Consider the following 22,935-nt stretch of genomic DNA (forward strand, 5'->3'; position numbering starts at 1 on the left):
CACTGTAGCCTCCACCTCTTGGGTTCAAGCGATCCTCCTGCCTCAGCCCCCCAAGTAGCTGGGATTACAGACGTCTGCCACCACGCCAGGCTAATTTATGGTTTTTTGTATGTGTTTTTTGTGTTTTTGTAGAGACAGTGTTTCCCCATGTTGCCCAGGCTGGTCTCCAACTCCTGAGCTCAAGTGATCTGCCCGCCTCAGCCTTTCAAAGTGCTAGGATTACAGGTGTGAGCCACCGTGCCCGGACTTAATCCCATTCTTTAACTTGTTTTGTTTTGTCCTCTCCAGGAGGCTCCCAGCCCTTTCGGATTGGTTGAGAAAAGTGGCCTGGCTGGTCTGGGGCCAGCGGCACCCACCCTCCCCTCAATTGCCCAACTCCCCCCCCCCACCGAACTGCCCAACTCCCCCTCCCCAACTGCCCAACTCCCCCACCCCCACAATCCCCTCCCGCCACAACTGAGGGAGGCGGTGCTGAAAAACAGCTGACTCCAGCAATGCTGCTCACGTGACCACTGCAGCTGCAGCTCCCGTTCCACTCCTTGTCCTGGGCTAGGTGGGCACTACCAGGGGCTCCTTTGGTAAGGAGTACCGGGTAGGCACCCGGTCCTGCCAATCCACCACTGGAACAGCTGGGGGGACAGCAGACAGGCACGGTCGGACAGACTTGACAGATCAGGCATCAGGCCCTCTGCGCTGGTCCCGGGCTCTTTAAGCAGGAACGTGAATGGCCTCAAGATGTCTCACATGGTCCCACTAGCCCTCCTCCTCCCTTTGTTCCCTACCTCCAGGAGGGCTGCTCTGCCCTTCCTTCCTCTGTTCTTTGGCCTTATGTTCCCCGCCACCACAGACCTTCCCCCGCCCCACCCCTCTGCAGACTTAGCCGTGCATTGCAGGCATGGAGGATTAATCAGTGACAGGAAGCTGCGTCTCTCGGAGCGGTGACCAGCTGTGGTCAGGAGAGCCTCAGCAGGGCCAGCCCCAGGAGTCTTTCCCGATTCTTGCTCACTGCTCACCCACCTGCTGCTGCCATGAGGCACCTTGGGGCCTTCCTCTTCCTTCTGGGGGTCCTGGGGGCCCTCACTGAGATGTGTGGTGAGTAACTCGCCTCTATCCTGTGCCTCTTTCCTCCTGGGTCCTTAGTGGGGTGGCTAGGGCATAGGATGAGGGAACTTACCTGCCCTTCTAAGCTCCCATAGCAGTTTGGGCTTAGCTGGACCTCAGCATTTAACACATCCTATTGTGATTGATTATATGTTTGACTCCTCACCAGACAAGATCTCCGTTAATTCAGTCATTCGTTCACACATTCATTCAGCGCATACTGAGCCTTTTCTGTGTCAGGCCCAGTGTTAGCCTTTGGGGAACGTGCAAAGCATGAGACAAGTCTAATCCCTGCCATCCTAGAGCTTATGTTCTAGGGAAGGGGGACAGACAAAAGAAATGGTTAGGTGCTCCCACCTGAAATCTCAGCATTTTGGAAGGCTGAGGCGGGAGGGGAGGATCGCTTGAGCTCAACAGTTCAAGGTCAGCCTGGGCAACATAGGGAGACCCCATCTCTACAAAAAATAAAAAAAATTAAAAAATAGCTGGGCATGGGGAAGACTTTCTGAAGACCAAGAGGACACATGGGAGCTGAAACTCGAAGGAAGAAAAGGAGCTGGCAGGAAAGGAGTGGGGGACACACATTCTAGGCAGCAGGAAGTGAGCCTTCGGAGGTCCTGCCTGCTCCAGCTCTGTGCCCCAAGGGGTCTCTTGGAGCACAGTCTCCTGGGACCTGTCTATGAGTCTGAGCTTAGAGGCTCAGGGCTGCTCCTTCAGACAGGAGGCAGAAGGCAGGCTTTGGGAACTTTGGGCCGCCCACGCGCCTTTTCTCCTCCTCTGCACCTAGGATTACGTTGAGCAATACACTTTCACCCCCATGGTCTCTTGAGACCCTGGGGAAACCCTGAGAGGTGGGTGCAGTCATGTCCAGGTGTCAAGTGAAGAAGTCGAGGGTTGGAGGGGCTGAGTGACCCACTCAGGGTGCTCCACCTTTTCCAGAGCTTTGCTGAACTTAGTTTTTAGAACTTGAAGCCTCGTTTGTTTTCGTTTTGTTTTTTGTTGAGAGAGGTTCTCCCTCTGTTGCCCAGGCTGGAGTGCAGTGGCACGATCTTGGCTCACTGCAGCCTCTGCCTTGTGGGTTCAAGTGATTCCCCCACCTCAGCCTCCCAAGTAGCTGGAGACTGCATGTGCATACTACCATGCTTGGCTAATTTTTGTATTTTTTTGTAGAGACAGGGTTTCGCCATGTTGCCCAGGCTGGTCTCGAACTCCTGGGCTCAAGTGAAACTCTTGCGTCGGCCTCCCAAATTGCTGAGATTACAGGCGTGAGCCACCGTGCCCGGCCAGAACTCCAAGCCTCTCATCTGTGTTCCATAAATGCAATCAGACACCTCAGGTCTGGGCCCAGGAACCCCAGCTCTTGGTTCATGTCCGGACAGTCCCCAGGGGAGTTCTGGGTTCAACCAGCAAGAGCTCTTCCTCCTGGCTGATCTGGTCCTCAGCCTTGGACAGTTAGTCCATTAACCTGACCCCACAGGAGCCCCAATCCCTTGGGGTCTGGGGAATCTTGAACTGGGGTTTGGGGTGCAAATATCTGCACTGAGTCACTTAATTGCACCCAGCCTCATTCCTTTATCTGTAAAGTGGGCTAAGAATGCTCCCCTGCCTTCCTCCTCGGTGTAGTACAAGGAAGGATCCCATGACACCTGCTCTCCCAGTTTAAAGCTCTATATGTATGTTGTGAAATTGACAGGGATCGCTGCACAAACGCTAATGCAAAGTGGGCTCCTGTGCTTCCTTTTCTCTTTCTTCTTCTTTTTTTTTTTTTTAATTTTCTTCTAGAGATGAGGTCTCACTATATTGCCCAGGGTTGGTTTCAAACTCCTAGGGTCAAGCGATCCTCCCACCTTGGCCTCCCAAACTGCTGGTATTACAGGCGTGAGCCACTCTGTCTGGCTCCTGTGCTTGTGAATGTCAACAGCAATCAGCCCTTAGCTGGCAGGGCTGGGTTGGTAGGGCGAGAGCTCACCCAAGGCTGCTTTTATTACCCTGCGTGAATCTGCCTGGCCCCTTCCTTCTAAGGAGGTTGCTCTGTGGTTGTCAGTCTCTCCCTTTACAGCTGGATCCTGATCTTTCAGTTTCTAACCCTGTGCTGACTCATCGTGCTGGAAGTGAGAGCCCGGGGTGAGGTCAGGGAACTCCCTTGCGCGTTTCAAGAAAAGGGAAAAGGAAAGAGAGGTGAGGAGGGGGGCAGATGACCAGAGAGACACAGGCTGAGAGAGACTGAGACAGACCCAGAGAGCCTCACACATTGAGTGACAGAGACGGAGAAATGGAGATAGGCACCAAAAAATGGTTCTCAGTGACAGAAAGGGAAAAAAGCAACCCCCCAGTCTCTCTTAACATCTGGTGAGAAACCAGCCATGTGCTTTGGTCTGGGCCCACACAGCAAAGGATTATGTAGGGTTTCATGCTGGTGGATGGTCACCTTATAGCAACAGGTATCTGGGGCTGTCGGGAAAACAGACACGAGGTTGTGGGACCCAGACCCACAGAGATGGAGCTGTTCTAGGAGCTCTGGTCCTCGTTCTGGTCCCCTGGGATATGGCACAGTGAAGGCCACCATCAGGCAGCTGGAGCCCAGCAGCAACTGGGAGGCAGTAAACAGGGACCGAAAGTGCAAGGTTACCTCCGAGGCAAACTACTCTAAGCTACCCTGTGCTGAGCTCAAGTCCCTTGGAACTATCCCTAAGGCTTCCGCTTCCAGAGTGTTTGAGTATTTTCGTTGCACAGCTTCGAATAAATCCCACAGCAACAGGTAAACGGCTGCAAGCTGTGACTGTTTTCTAAGAGCTCATCTCACAATCTCAGGTCCTCTTCATTTAAACAGAGATGGCAGGAAAGGCGTTATTTTGAGATCTGCATGGAGGAAGTTCACCAGGCAGCCTCAATTCACCAGCTGGAAGTTTGCGTTGTTTGGAAATTTGATGTGTAACACGTTCTGCATGTGGGCTGATGTTTTTGTAAACGGGTAGCACACACATTCAGCAGGGCACCAAAGAGCGGGGGCTTTGCAGTTAGGTCCATCCTTGGCTCTGCAGCCTTGTGTAAGACATGACACGACTTTGAACTTCTGTTTCCTCTTCTGTGCAAAGCAATGATGACAGTATCTACATCACAGGACTGGCATGAGGACCAAGTGAGATTGGGCAAGGTGCCCGGGCACACCAGTCTCACTGTCACTGCTGATGGGCAGAGTGGTTGCCTGGCAGTAGCATCCTCTATCTTCAGCCCACCACCTCTCTTGCTGGCTCACTCCAACTGCTCTTTAGAGATACACGCTTCCCCTCTTTTCTCCTCCCACTGCCTTTCAGTATGGCTGCATTTCCCCCTGCAAGTTGGTGTGTGCTGGGTGGAGGTGGGGGTGAGGACATGTATTCTCTGGAGAAGGCCCTGGTAACGTCAAAGCACTTCTTTGCTGGTGGCCTGGCCCTGTGACCTCATTTGTACCATTTTCTTTTCTAAGAAATACCAGAGATGGACAGCCATCTGGTAGAGAAGTTGGGCCAGCACCTCTTACCTTGGATGGACCGGCTTTCCCTGGAGCACTTGAACCCCAGCATCTATGTGGGCCTACGCCTCTCCAGTCTGCAGGCTGGGACCAAGGAAGACCTCTACCTGCACAGCCTCAAGCTTGGTTACCAGCAGTGCCTCCTAGGGTATTGCCACACTCTCTTTTTCCATGTCTTGCTCCACATACTAAGAGATGGGAAACTTGGGTACTAGTTTGGGCCTGTCACCACTTTGTGGGCAGACCTTAGGCAAATTTTCTCCATCTATAGAATGGAGGACCTTTGTCCATCTATAGAATGAAGGGGTTGGTTGGATTAGATCAGAGATGCTAATGCAAGGCTCCTTTTGCTACTACTGTCCATCATGTGTCTGAGGCAGACATAACTAATCCGTGACTATACTCTTTGATGATGAGCCCAGGAGCAGCATCTGACTCTATGCTCCCTTAGTGTGCCTGAGGCAGATATCACTAATCGATGACTGCAGTCTTCTACATTGAGCTTAGAAGCAGCATCTGACTCTGTATGCTCCCCTCCCATGCATGAGGCAGACATCAGTAATCCATGACCGCATTCTTTCATACTGAGCCCAGAAGCAGCATCTTTTCTTTTCTTTCCTCTCACTCTGTTGCCCAGGCTAGAGTGCAGTGGCACAATCTTGGCTTGCCCCAACCTCCAATTCCCGGGTTCAAGTGATTCTCGTGCCTCAGCCACCTGAATAGCTGGGATTACAGGCGTGTGCCACCATGCCCAGCTGATTTTTGTATTTTTGGTAGAGATAGGGTTTCACCATGTTGGCCAGGCTGGTCTTGAACTCCTGACCTCAGGTGATCCGCCTGTCTTGGCTTCCCAAAGTGTTGGGATTATAGGCATGAGCCACTGCACCAATCCAAAAGCAGCATCTTTGTGCTCCCTTTTCAAGAGGCATCACAGAGAGGCCTGTTTTGGGGTTTGAATGAGAGGCGAAGAATCAGCCATGGAGTGCCTCTTTCTCAGACTCCCTCTTGAGAAGTGGATGCAGGGGTGGAGAGAAAAGAAGACTAGGCATAGTGGCTCATACCTGTAATCCCAACATTTTGGGAGGCTGAGGCAGGAAGATTGCTTGAGCTCAGGAGTTTGAGACCAGCCTAGGCAACATAGTGAGACCACATCTCTTAAAAAAAAGAAAAAGAAAAAAAATGAGCCAGGTGTAGTGACTCATGCCTGTGGTCCCCACTTCTCCGGAGGCAAAGGTGGGAGGATCTTTTGAGGCTGAGAAATCGAGGCTACAGTGAGCCATGGTGGCACCACTGCACTCCAGCCTGGGAGACAGAGAGACCCTATCTCAGTAAAAAAAAAAAATAAAAATATGGCTGGGTGTGGTGGCTCACGCCTGTAATCCCAGCACTTTGGGAGGCCAAGGTAGGTAGATCACATGAGGTTAGGAGTTCGAAACCAGTCTGGCCAACATAGTGAAACCCTGTCTCTACTGAAAATACAAAAAATTAGCCAAGGGTGGTGGTGGGCAACTGTAATCCCAGCTACTTGGGAGGCCGAGGCAGAAGAATCGCTTGAACTCGGGAGGCGGAGGTTGCAGTGAGCTGAGAACATGCCACTGCACTCCAGCCTGGGCAACAAGAGCGAAACTCTGTCTCAAAGAAAATAAATAAATAAAATAAAAAAATAAAAAAGGAGGGGGCATATGGGTGAAGTATGGACAAAATAGTGGGGCAGGCACAGATGATCTGGACACAGGAGCCCTTGGAGTTTATTCTTGAATCTAACTGTTCATCTTTATTAAATATTTGTGGCATACACCTCACAACAACATAGCCAACACACCTCCTTTTGGAGCTTTTATCAAAGTTTCCCACTGTTAAGATTTTTTCCCGCTTTGTGATGCGGGTGGGGTGGGTGCTGTAAGCAGGCTTACGGGGTGGCAGTTTCTCACAAAGGCATTAACTGGCCTTGTCCTAGGTCTGCCTTCAGCGAGGATGACGGTGACTGCCAGGGCAAGCCTTCCATGGGCCAGCTGGCCCTCTACCTGCTCGCTCTCAGAGCCAACTGTGAGTTTGTCAGGGGCCACAAGGGGGACAGGCTGGTCTCACAGCTCAAATGGTTCCTGGAGGATGAGAAGAGAGCCATTGGTGAGCAGACACCATCCGCTGGGGGTGGGGAGCAGCTGGGAGGGCTCATCAGATGATATTCTCCAATGAGAATCAGAACTTTGGGTTTTCTCCCCAGGCGTCTTTCCCACCATCCATTCTGCCCATCTCACTGCCTACGTAGAGGCTCGAACCTGTCCCCATAGCCATCCTTGACCCAGCTTTTCCCGCGCTGCACACATACTATTGACAGGTGTGTTTCGTGGTTTTTTGTTTTTTGTTTGTTTGTTTGTTTTGAGTTGGAGGTTTGCTCTTGCTGCCCAGGCTGGAGTACAATGGCGCAATCTCAGCTCACCGCAATCTCTGCCTCCTGGGTTCAAGCAATTCTCCTGCCTCAGCCTCCTGAGTAGCTGGGATTACAGGCATGCGCCACCACACCCAGCTAATTTTGTATTTTTAGTAGACGTGGGGTTTCTCCATGTTGGTCAGGCTGGTCTCGAACTCCTGACCTCAGGTGATCCGCTTGCCTTAGCCTCCGAAAGTGCTGGGATTACAGGCATGAGCCACTGCGTTAGGCCCACTGACAAGCCTTGTATTGGCTAGCCACCAAGATTGACTTGATTATCCACCTTCGGGACAACTGGACAGCCTGCTTATGACTTACGCCATAGTCTGTCTCTACTAGCTCTCCTGCCCTGACTTGACCCAGCATACAACAGCCAGAGCCAGCCTTTTCAATATAAACCTGATCTTGCTGGCACTGCTTAAACCCTGCAGGGGCCTCGCACTGCTCCATGGCCCAGCCTGTCTACCCTTACCTTCTGCCCAGGCTGTGCTCATCCATTCTCTGCCTCCCACACACCTGCCCTCTGTGGGCTCCAGCCATACCATCTCTCAACTCATAAGCCAGTTTTTTCATACAGGCTCCCTCCATCTGGACTGGCTTCCCTGCGTGCAGTTCACTCCTGCTCTACCTTTGGCTCTGCCTCCACCCATCCTCAGCCGTCTCCAGCATTACCTCCTTGGAGAATCCTGCCTTGACTTCCCAGCCACCCAAATATCACTACTTGGTCTGCATTCTCGTTGCAATTGCAGTCGCATGAGCAATTGCTGTGGTTGAGGCCCGAACTGCGCAGTGCCTGTCTGCCATGGGTCTCCTGCTTCCTCTAAGCACAGTGCCTGACACACAGTGAGACCTCAGCACGTATGGGCTGAGGCAATGAAGGAATGAAGGATCCCATGACCCAAAAGAGCGTGTTGGAAAGTGCAGGCCAGGGTCCCAGGTGCTGGCGGGGCTGGCTGCTGGGTGGGGGCAGAGAGGCAACCCCTCTGTTTTTTTCCCTCTCAGGGCATGATCACAAGGGCCACCCCCACACTAGCTACTACCAGTATGGCCTGGGCATTCTGGCCCTGTGTCTCCACCAGAAGCGGGTCCATGACAGCGTGGTGGACAAACTTCTGTATGCTGTGGAACCTTTCCACCAGGGCCACCATTCTGTGGGTGAGTAGGTCAGACCGTGCCAAGGCCAGGCTGGCACTCCCTCAGTCCCCAGGTCTGCACTGATGACCTCCATACCCTGGCCCCCACACTCACCTTTCCTTGGGGCTCCTCCGAATCAAGTCCTTTAGGGACGAATTGGCGAGGGCTCATGGGTGATGCTTCAGCTGTGAGCCAGCTTTGGAGCTGGTAGGTGGATCTCTTGAGGCCAGGAGTTCAAGACAACGTGGTGAAACCCCATCTCTACTAAAAATAAAAAAGTTAGCCGGGCATGGTGGCACATGCCTGTAGTCCCAGCTACTCGGGAGGCTGAGGCAGGAGAATCACTTGAACCTGGGAGGCGGAGGCTGCAGTGAGTGGAGATCGCACCACTGCCCTCCAGCCTGGGCAACAGAGTGAGTGAGACTCTGTCTCAAAAAATAAAAAATAAAATAAAACTCCCCTAGTGATTCCAATGTGCAGCTAAGTTTGGAAATAGGTGGTATGGGGTCAAGTCCTCTTGGGCCTCCCTCCTCCAGTCCTTCTCCCTAACCTCTAGCCCTCAAGTTGCAGAGTGATCAGCCAAACCAGTTTGCCCAGAAATGAGCAGTTTCCTGGGACACAGGATTTTCAGAGTCCAGACAAGGAAAGTCTTGGGCAGACCAGGTTGAGTTGGTGCCCTTAGCTGATCTGACCATGTTGCCCTTCTTCTCCAAGCCCTCCTGTGGTTGTCCATAGCTACAAGGGCCTGACCCTCAAGCCCCTGCCTGTCCTGGCCCCTTTGGCTCTCCAGCTCATTGCATGTTCTGTCCCCCACTTCAAGACACAGCAGCCATGGCAGGCTTGGCATTCACCTGTCTGAAGCGCTCAAACTTCAACCCTGGTCGGAGACAACGGATCACCATGGCCATCAGAACAGTGCGAGAGGAGATCTTGAAGGCCCAGACCCCCGAGGGCCACTTTGGGAATGTCTACAGCACCCCATTGGCATTACAGGTGGGAAAGAGACCCTGGAGCCATGGCCACCCTGGGGAACAGTCAGGGGTGGAGTGGTCAGGTGCTGGAACACCTAGCCCCTCCCTGCCGGCTGACTTCCTCTCTCTCTTCCTCACTCTATCACCAGTTCCTCATGACTTCCCCCATGCGTGGGGCAGAACTGGGAACAGCATGTCTCAAGGCGAGGGTTGCTTTGCTGGCCAGTCTGCAGGATGGAGCCTTCCAGAATGCTCTCATGATTTCCCAGCTGCTGCCCGTTCTGAACCACAAGACCTACATTGATCTGATCTTCCCAGACTGTCTGGCACCACGAGGTAGCCCAACTTTTTGTGGAAGCACAGCCCTTTACAATCTGCTGCGCACCCATTGACGTCCCAGTGAGGGGAGGTTGCTTCATCCTGATTTGCTGAGTCAGCACAAGATTGTGGGTGTGCATGGGACACAGCAGCCAAAATGTGGTCATAGCTTCTAGAAGCTCACAGTGTGGGGAGGAAGACAGTAAATGGAGATCCCTGGGCATATCGCTTGTGTGATACCCAGTACAGAAATGTTTGGATGGATGGATGGATGGATGGATGGATGGATGGATGGATGGATGGATGAGGAGAGACACATTTTGGTTAACTCTAATACAACATGATAAGCCCCAGTAGCAGCATGATCCAGGCTTTCTCTGAGAGAGGGTCTGAGGACGTGACTGGGATTTGCCAATTAAGAATGGAGAAAGAGGCCAGGTGCAGTGACTCATGCCTGTAATCCCAACACTTTGGGAGGCCGAGGCGGGTGGCTCACCTGAGGTCAGGAGTTCGAGACCAGCCTGGCTAACATGGCGAAACTCCATCTATTAAAAATACAAAAAAGTAGCTGGGTGTGGTGGCGAGTGCCTGTAACCCCAGCTAAGCTACTCAGGAGGCTGAGGCAAGAGAATCACTTGAACCTCAGAGGTGGAGGTTGCAGTGAGCCAAGATCATGCCACTGCACTCCAGTCTGGGTGACAGAGTAAGACTATGTCTCAAAAAAAAAAAAAAAAAATGGAGAAGAAGGAAGCTGGACATGGTGGCTCGTGCTTATAATCCTAGCACTCTGGGAAGCTGAGGCAGATGGATTGCCTGAGCCCAGGAGTTTGAGACCAGCCTGGGCAACATGGTGAAACCCTGTCTTTACTAAAATACGAAAGATTAGCCAGGCATGGTGGTAGACACCTATAATCCCAGCTACTAGGGAGGCTGAGCCACAAGAATCACTTGAACCTGGGAGACAGAGGTTGCAGTGAGCCGAGATCGCGCCATTGCACTTCAGCCTGGGCGACAGTGTGAGACTCTGTCTCCAGAAAAAACAAGAATGGATAGAGTGGAGCCAAGAAGAGGCAGGAAGAACAAAGACACAGAGGTGCACAGAGTTTGGGGGAATTTTGAGGAATGGTCTTGCAAAAGAGTGGGATCTGGGAGAATGAGTGGGAGTGGAAAGCAGATGAATGAAGAGAAGGTGAGCGCATCAGGGTAACAGAGATGCGTTGTGAACAAATGCATGTTCTAGGAAGAGCCCTCTGGAGTGCTAGGTGCCAGAGAGGTGGGAGGAAGGATACTGGAAGCAGAGAAACCAGTGAGGGGCCTGATCTTGGGTGGTGGGGAATGAGGGACAGGGGAGGCCGGGATGGAAGCCAGGTGGTGGGGAATGAGGGACAGGGGAGGCCGGGATGGAAGCCAGGTTTCAGCTGAGCAGGTGGCGGTGGCATTGATGGAGATGAGGACATGGGGAAGGACAAAGTCCAGGTGTCCTTGAGGGAAGACAAGAAGACAAATAATCCAGGCTCTCTGTCCTCACACCAGCTGCCCGCCCCTTTCTTCCTGGCACAGTCATGTTGGAACCAGCTGCTGAGACCATTCCTCAGACCCAAGAGATCATCAGTGTCACGCTGCAGGTGCTTAGTCTCTTGCCGCCGTACAGACAGTCCATCTCTGTTCTGGCCGGGTCCACCGTGGAAGATGTCCTGAAGAAGGCCCATGAGTTAGGAGGATTCACGTGAGACTCCCACCTCCCAGTCCTCACCCCACCCAACCTCACATGCCTGATAACAGGGTCACAGAAGAGACGGGGAACAGAGGAGAGGGTTCCCTCGGGAGAGACACTGGCCCTGCTTCTGCTTCTACCTGCTCAGCTCCTTTCTTGCCCACGGTGTTATGGAAACAGGGAGCCATAGGCCAGCATTGTCACTGAGAGAGCAGGCTTTGGAGGCAGAGCCCCCCAGTTGGAATCCCAACTCTAACCAGCTAGGTTCCAGGTAGGCACCCACAATTCACCGAGGAGAACAGTTGTGCCCCTTCCCTGCAGGGCCAGTGTGAAGAGTCCAGGAGTTAGTACACATAGAGATAGTGGCATGTGCTTTTTATATGTGCAAGGTCCAGCACATAGCAAGCGCTCAACACAGCGTTGCTTTCATCAGAGTAAGAACTGTTTTTTGTTTGTTTGTTTGTTTGTTTTTAAGAGACAGGGTCTCAATCTTATCACCCAGGCTGGAGTGTAATTGTGCAATCACGTCTCACTGCAGTCTCGAACTCTGGGGATGAAGCAACCCTACTGTCCTGCCTCAGCCTCCCAAATAGCTGAGACTATAGGCACGTGCCACACAACCCTGGGTAATTTTTTTTTTTTTTTTTTTTGAGATAGGGTCTCTGTCTGTTGCCCAGGCTGGTCTCAAATTCCTGGCCTCAAACCATCCTCACACCTGAGGCGCTCAAAATATTGGGATTATAGGTGCGAGCCATCATGCTCAGCCAGAATAATAACTGGTTTTTTTTGTTTTTTTTTTTGAGACAGAGTCTCACTCTATTACCCAGGCTCTGGAGGCCCAACTCGTGTTTGTGTATTTGTTTATTTTTATTTATTTATTTATTTCGAGACAGAGCCTCTCTCTTTCACCTAGGCTGGAGTGCAGTGGCGCAATCTCGGCTCACTGCAACCTCCGTCTCCTGGGTTCAAGTGATTGTCCTGCCTCAGCCTCCTGAGTAGCTGGCGCTACAGGCGCGTGCCACCATGCCCAGCTAATTTTTGTATTTTTAGTAGAGACAGGGTTTTACTATGTTGGCCAGCTGGTTTCTAACTCCTGAACTCGGGTGATCTGCCTGCCTCGGCCTCCCAAAGTGCTGGGATTACAGGCATGGGCCTCCGTGCCCGGCCATGTATTTATTTAGGCAAGGTCTCTCTCTGTTATCCAGGCTGAAGTGCAGTGGCACATTCATAGCTCACTGCAGCCTCAAATTATCCAAGTAACAGGGACTACAGGCATGCACCACCACACCCATCTACTTTTTTTTGAGATGGAGTCTCCCTCTGTCGCCCAGACTGGGTTGCAGTGGCACAATTTCAGCTCATGGCAGCATCTACCTCCCAGGTTCAAGCGATTCTCCTTCCTCAGTCTCCCGAGTAGCTGGGACTATGGGCATGCACCACCATACCTGGCTAATGTTTATATTTTGAGTAGAGATGGAATTTTGCCATTTTGGCCAGGCTGGTCTTGAGCTCTTGACCTCAAGTGATATGTCTGCCTCAGCCTCCCAAAGTGCCGGGATTACAGGCATGAGCCACTATGCCTGGCCCAGAATAAGAACTTTTATTTTATTTGAGACAGGGTCTTACTCTGTCACCTAGGCTAGAGTGCAGTGGCACAATCACAGCTCACTGTAGCCTCAATCTTCCGGGCTCTGATCCTCCCACCTTAGCCTCCCAGGTAGCTGGGAACAACAGGCATGCGCCACCACGCTTGGCAAATATTTTTTTAAAATTTTTTGTAGACATGGGATTGCTTCATGTTGCCCAGACTGGTCTCAAACTCCTGGACTCAAGCGATCTACCCACCTTGGCCTCCCAAAGTGCTGAGATAACAGGCGTGAGCCGCCGTGGCTGGCCAGAATAAGAACTTTTATTATGAAATAAGTTTGGCCCTATCCTGTTATTAATTACCTCAAAGAGGTTGGACAATGTCCTTACACTTGCTTCTCACCCTGAGCTTAGAATAGTTTGAGAATGAGCATGTCTGGACTGTTGTTTGACAGGTCCTGTCCATGATGAAATAAGATGAATGTAATTCTCATGTTATCAGTGGGGAGTCCAGCCCAGAGAAGTTGAATGCCTTCCACCAGGTCACGCACACCACAGACTTCTCCCCTAGAATCATGGGCCTATCTCTGTCCCCAGTGGGAGTTCCTGGAAAACAGCATCCTGCATCCAGGGAGGGCCCACAGTTGGTTCCTTCGGGTCCTCTAGGCTAGAGAATCTCAGACCGGAGAAATGCAAAGACTCCTCTGAAGTACAAACATTCTCCCAGACCCCAGGTTAAGTTATTTCTTCTATAATATCACTTAGATGTGTACTGATAATTTTATTAAATATAAAGTCTTTGGCCAGAGCTGGTGGCTCACTCCTGTAATTCCAGTGATTTGGGAGGCTGAGGCAGGAGGATCACTTGAGCCTAGGAGTTTGAGACCAGCCTGGGCAACATAGTGAGACTGCCATCTCTTCAAAAAAATTTTTTTAATTAGCTGGGCATGATGGTGTGCACCTATAATCCTAGCTACCCAGAAGGCTGAGGTGGGAGGACTGCTTGAGCCCAGGAGTTCAAGGCGGCAGCAAGCTATGATGACGTCACTGTCCTGTAGCCTGGATGACAAAACTTTTTTTTTTTTTTTAAAAGACAAAGGGCTGAGTGTGATGGCTAACACCTGTAATCCCAGCACTTTGGGAGGCCAAGGTGGGCAGATTACTTGAGGCCAGGAGTTCAAAACCAGCCGGGCCAACGTGGCGAAAGCCCGTCTCTACCACACACAAAAAAAGTCCTTTCTCTTTCTAGCTCTAGACAGCTATAAATCCCCAACAACTTTATAAATTAAATAGAAAAGTATAAAAACCAATACCATTCAAATAAGGATGCTCTGCGGAGGTGCTGGCCTGCACTTTAGCACCTCCCTGTATTCAAGCTGCAGTGAAGCCTGGGCACTCCTGGCCTGGCTCAGCCACTTCATTCACTATGAGGGCCACCTCCGTTTCCTTCCTGTGGCCTATGGCACATAACGCAATGCTGCTGGGCACCAGCGCAGTCACTGATGGCCACGCATAGGCTGAGTGCCCTTGGGAGGGCTCAGACCCACAGACTGAGATTACCCAGAACCAGCTGGTATTCATGTTTGAATATTGTCATCAAAATGAAAGACAATTAGAATTTAACGTTTTTATTCAGAGCTCGGGGATCTCTGGGAAGACACTGTGGACTCCAGTCTGAGAAATGGTTCTCTTGTTAGTGTGCATGGATGCCTCAACTGGGTTCAGGCATGAAGACTATGTTTGAGGCCCCTGAATGCACAGCAGAGAAAGCTCAACTGCAGACACAGATAGACAGATGTGGAGAGAGGTAGCCCTGTGCAGCCACATGGCCCTGCAGAGTTAAGGAATGGGAAAAGGGCTACTCTGTGACATTCCTTAGAACAGTAGTTTCCCTTCGCTAAAGTCACCCCAAATAGGGTGGTGGTTGTTGTTGTTGTTTTGAGACGGAGTTGCATTCAGTCGCCCAGGCTGGAGTGCAGTGGCACGATCTCGGCTCACTGCAACCTCCACCTCCTGGGTTCAAGCGATTCTCCTGCCTCAGCCTCCTGAGCAGCTGGGATTACAGGGGCCCACCATCACACCTGGCTAGTTTTTGTATTTTTAGTAGAAATAGGGTTTCACCATGTGAGCCAGGCTGGTGTCAAACTCCCAACCTCAGGTGATCCACCCACCTCCGCCTCCTCAAGTGCTGGGATTACAGATGTGACCCACCGCGCCCCACCTGTGTTTCTTAAAACCAAAAAAATCCCTCTAAGACTGCAACCATCGATAACTTAGGGCTGTATTACCCCAGAGAGCACTTTGTAGAAGATGCGTTTGTTCACATCACTTCCCTGTTACTTTGACGGTCTCACCTCCTTTTCAGTCATTTGCATTCTCCCAGAACCTGCTCATTTGTTGTTTTTTGTTTGTTTGCTTGGTTTTGTTTTTGAGAAGCAGTCTTGCTCTGTTACCCAGGCTGGAGTGCAGTGGTGCGACCTCAGGTCACTGCAACCTCCGCCTACTAGGTTCAAGTGATTCTCCTGCCTCAGTCTCCTGAATAGCTGGGATTACAGGTGTGCACCACCATGCCCAGCCTAATTTTTGTATTATTAGTAGAGATGGGGTTTCACCATGTTGTCCAGGCTGGTCATGAACTCCTGACCTCAAGTGATCCACCCGCTTTGGCCTCCCAAAGTGCTGGGATTACAAGCATGAGCCACAGTGCCTGGCCTGACCCTGCTCTTTTGAAAGACCATTCCCCCAAATTCTGTGCACCTGTGTGCCTTTCTTCTCTCTGCCTCCTCTCAGCTCTGCCCCGCTCTCCTCCCTTCTCCTCTGGCAAATCCCACTCATCTCTTGAAGCCCTTCTTCCAGGGGAAGCCCTGATCATGCTGCTTTCTCCTGTGGGAGGGATGAAGGACGTGGCCCACGGAGTTTGTTTTGTTTTGTTTTGAGATGGAGTTTTGCTCATGTTGCCCAGGCTGGGGTACAATGGTACGATCTCAGCTCACTGCAACCTCTACGTCCCGGGTTCAAGCGGTTCTCCTGCCTTAGCCTCCCCAGTAGCTGGGATTACTGGCATGAACCACCACACCTGGCTAATTTTGTGTTTTTAGTAGAGATGGGGTTTCTTCATGTTGGTCAGGCTGGTCTCGAACTCCCAACCTCAGGTGATCTGCCTGCCTTGGCCTCCCAAAGTACTGGGATTACAGGGTTGAGCCACTGTGCCTGGCCCAGGCCCACGGAGTTTTAAGAGGCTTCCTGTGGCAGTGGCATCCAGACGGAGTGCAGAAACTCAAAGTTGAAGGCCAGAAGCTCAGGGAAGGGGGAGTGTGAGTTGAGGAGTCTCTTGGCTGCCAGGGCCAGAAACCGAACTCCAAGCCTCTCCACAACAGCGGGTGTAGAGCATGTAGAATCAGAGAGGAGGCTGAGCCATGCAGCCCCGAGAAGAGGGGAATGCCACTGAGCCACAGAGACCCAGTGCCACTGCCAGGTGTCTCTGCCTCCACTTCCCATGACCCTGCCTGTCTCTGTATGCAGGCTTCACCCTCTCTCGTTGTACATTGTACACATTCTAGGTGACACCAGCAGCTTCTGATTCTCATCCCCCATAACATCAGCCCCCCAGAGAGGGGACAACTGCTGAGCTGATAACATAATAGATGCCCCTTTCCTGGAGGCCATGGTCATGGTCAGCGTGGAGAGGATGAAGCCTGAGCAGGCAGGATCGGGGGTCTGGAGGGGAAGGAGGTGGAAGTTGAGATCACAGACCTGTGGCCAGGTGGCCTGGGAAGGGTTTGACGAGTGTCGGCCCAAAGAGCTTGGAAGGGATTTTGCTGCTGTGGGTGAGCACTGCCTCTCCCCTTAGGGACAACAGCCACCTCTTCTCTCCCCATTTGCCTTTCCCTTCTGTAGATATGAAACACAGGCCTCCTTGTCAGGCCCCTACTTAACCTCCGTGATGGGGAAAGCGGCCGGAGAAAGGGAGTTCTGGCAGCTTCTCCGAGACCCCAACACCCCACTGTTGCAAGGTGAGTCATGGCCTGACACTCTGGATGTGTCCCCTACCCCAAGCTTACTCAGCCAAGAGGCTTCATCAACTCACCCCAGCTTTCCCTAGCACCCTCCTGGGCCACACCTTCACAAAATCACTGATGCTCAAAGTTGGATATAATATATTGAACTGAAGCCTTAGAATTTTTATGCAAGTTACTGTGGAAATTCTAGGAAACCAGACAGATTACAAAAAAAAAAAAAAACTAGAAGAAAATTAACATCACCTAGGATATACTACCTAGGAATAACGTCTTTTATTTTGAGATGGAGTTTCGCTCTTGTTGCCCAGGCTGGAGTGCAGCGGTATGATCTCGGCTCGCTGCAACCTCCGCCTCCTGGGTTCATGTGATTCTTCCACCTCAGCCTTCCTAGAGCCCAAGTGGTCTGCCTGCCTCTGCCTCCCAAAGTTCTGGGATTACAGGCATGAGCCACCGCACCCAGCCAAAATTACTTAACTTTTCTTCTAGATACTTTTTAAAAATATGGCAGTAAGTTTTTCATAAAAAATGGAGCCATGCTATCCAGTGGAAATTTAATGTTGCCCACATGTATAACTTAAAAATTTCATATATGTGTATACATATATATGAAATATATATATATACAGACACACATATATATGTATACATATATATACACACATATATATGTATATATATATACACACATATATATGTATACATATATACACACATACACATATATACACACACATACACACACATATACACACACATACATACACATACATACACACATATATACACACATATATACACACATATATATGTATACATATATATACACACATATATATGTATACATATATACACACACACATATGTATACATATATACACACACATATATATGTATACATATATACACACATATATATGTATACATATATACACACATATATATGTATACATATATACACACACACACACACACATATATATATATATATATATTTTTTTTTTTTGAGATGGAGTCTTGCTCTGTTGCCCAGGCCGGAGTACAATGGCGAGGTCTCAGCTCACTGCAGCCTCTGCCTTCTGAGCTCAAGCAATTCTCCTGCCTCAGCCTCCCAAGTAGCTGGGATTACAGGTGTGTGCCACCATGCCCAGTTATTTTTGTATTTTTAGTAGAGACGGGGTTTCACCATGTTGGCCAGGCTGGTCTCAAACTCCTGACCTCAAGTGATCTGCCTGCCTCAGCCTCCCAAAGTGCTGGGATTACAGGCGTGAGCCACCACGCCTGGCCTGCAAACAGACCCTTAAAAGTCATCTGTTCCTACTCTTGTTATTTAAGTTGCTTTGATACTCCACCCCTGAAGAACTTTTATGGGGCACTTACCATGTGTCAAGCATTGTGGCGAGTGCTTATAGAGAAGGTGGGACTTTCTGAGGGAGCCCACAAAAAAGCATTCTTTTCTTGCCCTCATTCTGAATAAATTGAGGAATAAAAAATAGGAGCTACAGATGGAGACCCCAAGTCTGGCCAGTTCTATTACTGATAAAGACAGGAGGGTGAGAGCTAGGTGGACCCAGCCAGGAAGCAGACCTGGGCAGTTGTAGCCTCTATCTCCTTCCCCCTCTGCCCTTGAGTCTAGAAGGAAGCCCGCTCCCAGGAGAAAAATAGCGCCCAGGCTACACATGCCTAGTTTATTCTTCCCAAATCAACCAGTTGCATAAATCACTCCTCTATCTTCCTTGGGGTGGAAAGTGGATGGGAGTTATAATTTGAGTTCTCTTTTGTCTTAGTCCATTGAAGCTGCTATTACAAAATACCATAAACTGGGTGGCTTATAAACAGCAGAAATGAGGCCGGGTGCGGTGGCTCATGCCTATAATTCCAGCACTTTGGGAGGCCAAGGCAGGTGGATCACCTGAGATCAGTAGTTCAAGACTAGCCTGACCAACATGGTGAAACCCTGTCTCTACTAAAAATACAAAAAATTAGCTGGGGGTGGTGGCGGGCACCTGTAATCCCAGCTACTCAGGAGGCTGAGGCAGGAGAATCGCTTGAACCCAGGAGGCGGAGGTTGCCGTGAGCTGAGATCACGCCATTGCATTTCAGCCTGGGCAACAAGAGTGAAACTCCATCTCAAAATGAAATAAAATAACAGAAATGTATTTCTTAACAGTTCTGGAGGTTGGGTGGGCAGTCCCAGATCAGGACACTGACAGATTCAGTGTCTGATGGGGGCCCACTTTCTGGTGTTACCTGCTGGCTGTGTTCTCACATGGTGGAAGGAACATGGCAACTTTCTGGGGCCTTGTTTTTTAATTTAAAAAAAAAAAATATTTTCCTGGCCCTTGCCTGCTGAAGGAACCTCTTTTATAATGGTACTTAAAAATTTTTTTTTTTGAGATGGGGGTCTCACTCTGTCACCCACGCTGAGTGCAGTATCACAATCTCAGCTCACTGCAACCTCTGCCTCCCTGGCTTAAGCGATCCTCCCACCTCAGCCTCCTGAGTACGTGTGACCATAGGCCCATGGCACAAAGCCCAGCTAATTTTTTGTATTTTTAGTAGAAATGTGGTTTCACCATGTTGCATAGGCTGGTCTCGAACTTCTGAACTCAAGTGATCTGCCTGCCTTGGCCTCCCAAAGTGCTGGGATTCTAGGTATGAGCCACCCTGCTCGGCCTATAATGGCACTTTCCTATCCCATTGATGAGGCTCTACTCTCATGACCTAATCATCTCCCAAAGGCCCTAAGGCCTCCTGATACCATCACCTTTGGGGTTAGGTTTTAACATATACATTTTGGGGGGACACAGACATTTTAGACCATAGCACCTCCATTGAAAGGAAACATTTCTGACACCTGGCTATCTCAAAGGGCCCTTTCAGTTCCCCTGCAGGCTGCATTCCCACATCACCAACAAGAGCAGCGACACTCACTCAGAGGTTAAATAACTTGTCCAGAGTCACAGCAGTAATGAATGACAGAGCTGGGGCTTGAATCCAGGCGTCCTCCTAGAGCCTGGATTCTGTGTAGTGAGTGAAAGCTGACTCCTGGGAGACTTCTGCGTGGTCCTGGTTCTCTCTCCAGACTGCACTGCGCAAGTTTCTCTTCCTGATGGTCCCTAGGGTATTACAAAGACAGTGGCCCTGCCTGTCAGGTGTTTTTATTACCAGATGAGGTCATGGCCTCAGGAACCCTGTGGGAAGCTGAGTTCAGAGTCTTTGAGCAGGCTTTAGGGAGGTTCCAGCTTCCCACCACCAAGCCCCAGGTGGATTCTTACAGACTCTAGCCTCAGGGTGGGGGGTCTGGAAGATGAGGTTGCGGGGTGCGATATTCTGCCCAATTCGCCCCTCCTTGCTCAATCTGTTTCTGCAGGTATTGCTGACTACAGACCCAAGGATGGAGAAACCATTGAGCTGAGGCTGGTTAGCTGGTAGCCCCTGAGCTCCCTCATCCCAGCAGCCTCGCACACTCCCTAGGCTTCTACCCTCCCTCCTGATGTCCCTGGAACAGGAACTCGCCTGACCCTGCTGCCACCTCCTGTGCACTTTGAGCAATGCCCCCTGGGATCACCCCAGCCACAAGCCCTTCGAGGGCCCTATACCATGGCCCACCTTGGAGCAGAGAGCCAAGCATCTTCCCTGGGAAGTCTTTCTGGCCAAGTCTGGCCAGCCTGGCCCTGCAGGTCTCCCATGAAGGCCACCCCATGGTCTGATGGGCATGAAGCATCTCAGACTCCTTGGCAAAAAACGGAGTCCGCAGGCCGCAGGTGTTGTGAAGACCACTCGTTCTGTGGTTGGGGTCCTGCAAGAAGGCCTCCTCAGCCCGGGGGCTATGGCCCTGACCCCAGCTCTCCACTCTGCTGTTAGAGTGGCAGCTCCGAGCTGGTTGTGGCACAGTAGCTGGGGAGACCTCAGCAGGGCTGCTCAGTGCCTGCCTCTGACAAAATTAAAGCATTGATGGCCTGTGGACCTGCTACAGTGGCCTGGTGCCTCATACTCCTCAGGTGCAGGGGCAGGGACAAGAGAAGGGGGAAGTAACCCCATCAGGGAGGAGTGGAGGGTGCCTGAGCCGCCATGTGGGCATTGGGGGAGTGATGGGAATGCCAGCAGTGATGACATTGACTACTGACTGAGCACCCACTACTATGACTGAGCACTCACTCGCTAGATACTATCTTGAACTGCTCTGTGAGGTTGTTGATATTTTCATTTTTATCTGTGCTTTACAAATCAGGAAACTGGGAGGCCGGGCATGGTGGCTCACGCCTGTAATCCCAGCACTTTAGGAGGCCAAGGCAGGTGGATCACAAGGTCAGGAGTTTGAGATCAGCCTGGCCAACATGGTGAAACTCCATCTTTACTAAAAATACAAAAAATTAGCCAGGCATGGTGTTGCATGCCTGCATGCCTGTAATCCCAGTTACTTGGGAAGCTGAGGCAGGAGAATTGCTTGAACCCTGGAGGCGGAGGTTGTAGTGAGCCGAGATCACGCCATTGCACTCCAGCTTGGGCAAGAAGAGAAACACTCTCAAAAAAAAAAAAAAATCAGGAAACTGGTGCTCAAAAAGGAAAAGTGACTCACCAAGGTCACAGACTAGGCAGTGATGCTGGGGGAACCTGGCTCAGGGGACACAGACCTGGCCTGGGGCAGCCTTGCAGCTCCTCCACTAAAATACTGAAAATGAGGGGCTTCGATGATGGTTATAATCGTATGGCAGAGCCCCAACTCAACTGGAGCCCTGGGACCCAGAAGCTAGGGTCTCACTCCCTGCTTTTCCACAAGGCACCATTAGGGCATCACCCCAGGCCTCGGCAGCCACGACGCAGGGATCCTGCCTCTCATTGGTTGGGGGCTTAGGGGCTCTGGGCTGCCCTCTTGAAGAGGGGGTTCAGCCCAGCGAGGCACCCCCTATGCTGCACCCCACCAAGGTTAGGAAGAGGTCCTGTCCTCAGTGGGGCCCTCTGATGAACAGCCCATCAGGTCTGCGTCCACATGCCTTGGAAGAGATGGTGACATACTCAAAGTCCTTGAAGCCGCATATTAAACCACCTAGAGCACCATCTTCAAACATTTAGGGTCTGAGAAGATAGGGGAAGTAAGCAATTTAAAACATTTCTTTATATTGGGCCAGGTGCAATGGCTCACGTCTGTAATCCCAGCGCTTTGGGAGGACGAGGATCACCTGAGGTCAGGAGTTCAAGATCAGCCTGGCCAACATGGAGAAACCCCATCTCTACTAAAAATACAAAAATTAGCTCAGGCGTGGTGATGTGCACCTGTAATCCTAGCTATTCAGGAGGCTGAGGCACAAGAATTGCTTGAGTCAATATTGCACCACTGCACTCCAGCCTGGGCAACAGCGAGACTCTTGTCTCAAAAAAAAAAAAAGATATTTGCTGAAAAGACCCAGCCTGCCAAACTCAGGGGCAGCCAAGGGAGGTAGTGAAATGGAAGTTGGAGCTCAGCGCTCCCTCACCTCCACTGCCCTCAGGCCTTCTCTGCCTCTTTCCCATCAGTCAGCTGCTTCTGGGCATGGTCCTGGCAGAGACTTGGCCTCCTTCCAGTTCAAGCTCCCTCTTAGATTGTGTCCCACGCCACTGAGTCTCTGGGACACTGGGTCAGTTGTCTAGTCTGGCACAATTGGCAGGAATCCCAAGAAACAGTGTGAGTGAGGGGACAGTCGTGTTGAGTGCGTGGCCTGATAACAGGGTAAGAGTCCAGAGGCCCTCCATCTGGGACTGGGAGGCAGGTCTATGTCAGGCCTGCATTTAGATCTCTAATAGCTCCAGACAAGCCCCTTCAGCTCACTAAGCCTGTTTCCTAACACAGCTGTGGGATGGTGCTTTGGTTTACATAGCACGCGATACCATCATAGATCACATGGGGAAACTGAGGCCCCAGGAGTGATCTGCTGGCACATGCAGTGACAAGAGGAGAGGCCCATCTCAGCCTTGCAGCAAGGTTGCCAGAAATCGATTCTCGCCCCCATCCCGTAAAGCCTCTCTGCATCACCTGCTTCCCACAGCAGCAGCCTGGGCCTCCAAAGGGCACATTCAGATTTGAGGGATTTGGGGAGTTTGTGGGCAAGGGCAGACTACTATGGGCTTTTGGGTGAACCCCAAGGGAATGCAAAGAAGCCCCCTGCCATTCT

General features: G+C 51.1%; 2 protein-coding genes across 4 annotated transcripts in view, besides 5 other annotated features; one reads left to right on the plus strand and one right to left on the minus strand.

Annotated features, from left to right (window-relative positions):
- PES1 (pescadillo ribosomal biogenesis factor 1) overlaps positions 1–710 on the minus strand; it is a 30,389-nt gene extending 29,679 nt beyond the window's left edge. For both annotated transcript variants that reach the window (NM_001282327.1, NM_001282328.1), the window contains exon 1: positions 506–710. The gene's annotated coding sequence lies outside the window, so the exon portion shown is untranslated. The remainder of the gene's footprint in view (positions 1–505) is intronic.
- Positions 657–1,236: an enhancer, noted in NCBI's record as "H3K27ac-H3K4me1 hESC enhancer chr22:31002947-31003526 (GRCh37/hg19 assembly coordinates)". NCBI's record gives its function as "activates a minimal SCP1, AML or CMV promoter by ChIP-STARR-seq in primed H9 embryonic stem cells {active_cell/tissue: H9 hESC(primed)}" and the evidence as "EXISTENCE:reporter gene assay evidence [ECO:0000049][PMID:30033119]".
- Positions 739–1,033: an enhancer, noted in NCBI's record as "tiled region #10016; HepG2 Activating DNase matched - State 4:PromP". NCBI's record gives its function as "activates a minimal TATA promoter and a strong SV40 promoter by Sharpr-MPRA in HepG2 cells {active_cell/tissue: HepG2}" and the evidence as "EXISTENCE:reporter gene assay evidence [ECO:0000049][PMID:27701403]".
- Positions 871–20,968, plus strand: TCN2 (transcobalamin 2). 2 transcript variants are annotated; one of them, NM_000355.4, is made up of 9 exons: positions 871–1,092; positions 4,568–4,760; positions 6,570–6,739; positions 8,046–8,198; positions 8,998–9,170; positions 9,298–9,484; positions 11,027–11,192; positions 16,665–16,780; positions 20,157–20,968. In NM_000355.4, the coding sequence occupies exons 1-9, from the start codon at positions 1,029–1,031 to the stop codon at positions 20,216–20,218; spliced, it is 1,284 nt and encodes a 427-aa protein (NP_000346.2). In that variant the 5' UTR covers positions 871–1,028; the 3' UTR covers positions 20,219–20,968. The 2 variants fall into 2 exon arrangements, with proteins under 2 accessions (NP_000346.2, NP_001171655.1); NM_001184726.2 differs by having other exon boundaries at positions 6,570–6,658.
- Positions 3,019–3,313: an enhancer, noted in NCBI's record as "tiled region #4664; K562 Activating DNase matched - State 5:Enh, and HepG2 Activating non-DNase unmatched - State 20:ReprD". NCBI's record gives its function as "activates a minimal TATA promoter and a strong SV40 promoter by Sharpr-MPRA in K562 cells, with weaker activation in HepG2 cells {active_cell/tissue: HepG2 | K562}" and the evidence as "EXISTENCE:reporter gene assay evidence [ECO:0000049][PMID:27701403]".
- Positions 3,019–3,367: a biological region, named in NCBI's record as "Sharpr-MPRA regulatory region 4664".
- Positions 3,088–3,367: an enhancer, noted in NCBI's record as "active region_18841". NCBI's record gives its function as "activates an Ori minimal core promoter by ATAC-STARR-seq in GM12878 lymphoblastoid cells {active_cell/tissue: GM12878}" and the evidence as "EXISTENCE:reporter gene assay evidence [ECO:0000049][PMID:35858748]".

The sequence above is a fragment of the Homo sapiens genome, chromosome 22, assembly GCF_000001405.40.
Source record: "Homo sapiens chromosome 22, GRCh38.p14 Primary Assembly".
NCBI classification, from domain to species: Eukaryota; Metazoa; Chordata; class Mammalia; order Primates; family Hominidae; genus Homo; species Homo sapiens.

What these genes read in the sequence shown, in the direction of transcription:
- TCN2 (NM_000355.4), top strand. Translation starts at nt 1,029, where the DNA reads ATGAGGCACCTTGGGGCCTTCCTCTTCCTTCTGGGGGTCCTGGGGGCC. An exon ending in TACCAGCAGTGCCTCCTAGG is followed by an intron (nt 4,761 to 6,569) that starts GTATTGCCACAC and finishes GCCTTGTCCTAG; the next exon opens with GTCTGCCTTCAGCGAGGATG. An exon ending in GCACCCCATTGGCATTACAG is followed by an intron (nt 9,171 to 9,297) that starts GTGGGAAAGAGA and finishes CTCTATCACCAG; the next exon opens with TTCCTCATGACTTCCCCCAT.